Below are 3,748 nucleotides of genomic sequence, written 5' to 3' on the forward strand. Positions count from 1 at the left end.
TGTCATAAAAGTGTATCTAAAGCATGCTCTTTGTAGTACATATAAATATATATAAATATAAGTATATATAAAAATGAGTACATATATACATATATACAGTTACTATATATGGTATAAATATATACTGTGTAAGTAAATATATATGCATACAGTAACTATATATGTATATATAGCAATGCATTGCTTAACAATGGGACTACATTCTGAGAAATGGGTCATTAGATTTCATCATTGTGCACATCACAATGTCCTTACATAAACCCAGAAGGTGTAGTTACTACACACCTAGACTGTATGGTACAGCCTACTGCTCCTAGACTGCAAACCTTCACAGCATATTACTGTACTGAATATTGTAGGCAATTGTAACACAATGGTATTTATGTATCTAAACATATCTAAACCCAGAAAAAGTATAGTGAAAACATGATATTATAACCTTATGGGGCCACGATCATCTATACAGTCTATTGTTGACTGAAATATTATATGTTGCATGACTGTATATTTATATTTACATGTATATAGACATAAAACAAAGAGTACATTTTAGATTTATTTTTATGACATAGGAATTTAAACTGTTTATGAAGAGAGTCAAACTCTGTAAAATATTTGAAGAGATTTACTCTGAGCCAAATACGAGTGACATGGCCTGTGACACAGCCTTCAGGAGGACCTGAGAACATGTGACCAAGACTGTCGGGGCACATCTTCGTTTTACGTTTCAGGGAGACATGAGATATCAATCAAGTACATTTAAGATATACATTCCTTTGGTCCAGAAAGGTGAGACAACTCAAAGTTGTAGGGGTGGGGGATGGGAGGGGTGGAGGCCTTCCAGGTTATAGGTAGATTTAAAAGTTTTATTATGAATAGAAAGGAAGGAATGTCTGGGTTAGGATAACAGATTGTGGAGAACAAAGTTTCATTATGCAGATGAAGCCTCCAGGTAGCAGGCTTCAGAGAGAATAGACGGTAAATGTTTCTTGTCGGACTTAAGGTCTCTTGATGTTAAATGCTGGTCGGCTGTTCCTGAATTCCACAAGGGAGGAAGGCATAATGAGGTATGTCCGACCCCCCACTTCCGGTCATTTAACTGGAACCAGTCTTTCAGGTTAAATTTTGGAGTGCTCTGGCCCAGAGGAGGAAGTTCATGCCATGGTTGGGGAGAGGGGGCTTAATTTTGATGTAAACCACAATTGTTCACAATTGTTTTTAACAAGTGAATTTCGGGTAACACATGAAGACCCTAGTACATTTGCTATCTCCATTTTCTAGGCACAAAAGGAGAATTACAAAGGTTAAACAAATTGCCTAAAATTACACAGCTCATATGTAGGAAAGACAATTGAATACCAGATCACACATATCAGGTATTCAATTTTAATCTACAATATGCATACAATATATAAATATATATAATATAAATATGTATTTGTATCTAAATAGATATTTTATATTATATATATACGTATATGTGTGTGTATAGACATGTATGTATATATATATATTTCACACACGTAAGACATTCTTATCAGAACTCGTATTGATTATGAGAACCATGATCCCTGGATGTTACTCTATGTCCAGTTATTTAATTAATTTTCAAGAGCTATATTTTTCCGTTCTGTGATCGCACAGTGTGTGTGTGTGTGTGTTTGTGGGCGCACGTGCACTATTTCTCTGGAACCCTTTCAGCGGTTTTCCCACAAGATTCAGAGTTACACAGAGTTGGGGCCGTGGGATGTTCATTGTTGCCCCTCCAGTATTGATCCCAGCCCCTAAAATATATTCTGTACTCCTTGCATGCTCAGTAAATGCACAATAATGTCACCCCTCTAAGGCACAGCCAGCAGTTTTGCAGCTATTGTGTGCAATGAACACACCAAAACCTGCAGAAAAGCCTTTTAACCCGAAACAACTGTTATTTGGATTAGAAACAAAAAGAGAAAATCCTGTCTATGAACACTAACACTAAGATTATCATCTGGAAGAAACTGAAGAGCTGAATTCACATTTAATGTATTTTCCAGTATAATTTATATATAATAAGAACATTTTAATGTGTATGAAACTTTTCTTTTTATTCTTTTCTTTCTTCTTTTTTTTTTTTTTTCAGTAGCTTTTGCCCCTTTCAAGTGGAGTCCTGCCTTTGACCACATTGCGGGAGCTCAATCTCTTCACTGAATTGACAGATCAAAAGACCTAGGAATTTTTTCCAGAAATCCTGGCATTGTTAACTACACTCCGGCCTGCCATGTTTGTCTGTGAAAGTACAGGAAACTGCTTTGAGGAGATGCAAAAGGAGATAAATGTGAGTGACACCGTTAACATTTAAAATAAAGGGAAATGCCAGTAGAGACCAGGAATGGAAATGATTGTCTTTTTCTCTGCTGGTTAAATGAAGAACCCTGTCCACGCTCCTTCTGTGATTTAAATGTAATTTCTCTTTTATTTAATCTTTGGAGGGATTTTCGTTTGTCTACATGGAAAGCATAAGTTCTCTCTTCAGTTTTCAGGGCTGTAGATGGACTTAGGAGTGGCAATAAATGATTGCAAATAGATGCTTAGTGGGTAAAGTCTTATTAGCGCAATGGCTCAGAAGTGCTGAAAACAAAGATTTTTAAAATTCAAACAGGCCGAAGTGGAGAAAAATATACTTAATCAAATTCACAATGTCTAAGTAGTACATAATAATGCTATATTTTTAGAGAACAAAAGCACTATCTTTTTAAAAGGAAAGTTAAAACTTTTGCTCTGAACACATATATAAATACTGAAAATAACTGTCATTTAATCCAAACCTTGGTTAACATAGGCCCGACATTTTCCTGCATCACGAACCCAAAGCCCTTCAGTGAAAACGCTACATTGTTTTGTTTTGTTTCTCTTGGTGCATTGAAACATGCTTTGCAGTTTTCCCTGAACATGTTCTTCTGTCAGATTTGCCCTGAAGTGTTCAACCAACTCATTTCATGCTTACCCAGCGTTTCCTGTTTGGATAAGTATTAGAAGAAACTAACACAAGTGCTCAATTTAGCATGCAAAAAATCACCTTGGTAATTTGAGCCTGAGATGGCAAGAACAAAGCAGTTGCCTGGCTGAATTTATTACATTTAAACTCATTTTTTATATTACTTTACATTTTTCTTTAAGACTAGAGAACATAGGTTGTACAATTCTGATTCTTTAGAAAATGTTGACACTTCTTGCATGCCTAGGACATCGTTAATTTTTCTAAAATGTAATATCTTAAAAAGATTGTGGATGGAAAATTCAGTGTATATCTCATGACGCATCCTTATTAATCGCATTGTTCAAAATGTAACATCTCTACTTCTGAAACCACCTTTGCAAAATTATAACTGAGGAAATTTTGACACTAAAAGAAATCACACCTAACCGACTCCATCTTGCTTCTAACCTGTAAGCTGCCCTTGTTTATTCCTGGGCATACGCCAAACTAACTTTGGGAAGGAATTCAGTTCATGGTTTGATTCTGAAACAAAATTGACAATAGCCCTTTCCCAAAAAGACCCCCTTCTTGTCTGGGGACCAGTCTACCTTTGTAGAACTAACAAATTAGCTGTGAGATTAGAAATTACAGTTTAGGGATCATGCAGCCTCTGGCTCTAAGAGTCTGAACCTCCCCAAATTGCTCCTGGGAATAACATCACTGTTGTAAAACCTAAGATCAGTGCTCTGCTCCCCGAATGCTCAGGGAGACTGATTTGAGTAATAATAG

The 3,748-nt window shown here is 36.0% G+C and overlaps 1 annotated feature.

Moving 5' to 3' along the window:
* Nucleotides 747–1,305: an enhancer, noted in NCBI's record as "OCT4-NANOG hESC enhancer chrX:6610973-6611531 (GRCh37/hg19 assembly coordinates)". NCBI's record gives its function as "activates a minimal SCP1, AML or CMV promoter by ChIP-STARR-seq in primed H9 embryonic stem cells {active_cell/tissue: H9 hESC(primed)}" and the evidence as "EXISTENCE:reporter gene assay evidence [ECO:0000049][PMID:30033119]".

Source organism: Homo sapiens, chromosome X (genome assembly GCF_000001405.40).
Source record: "Homo sapiens chromosome X, GRCh38.p14 Primary Assembly".
Taxonomy (NCBI): Eukaryota; Metazoa; Chordata; class Mammalia; order Primates; family Hominidae; genus Homo; species Homo sapiens.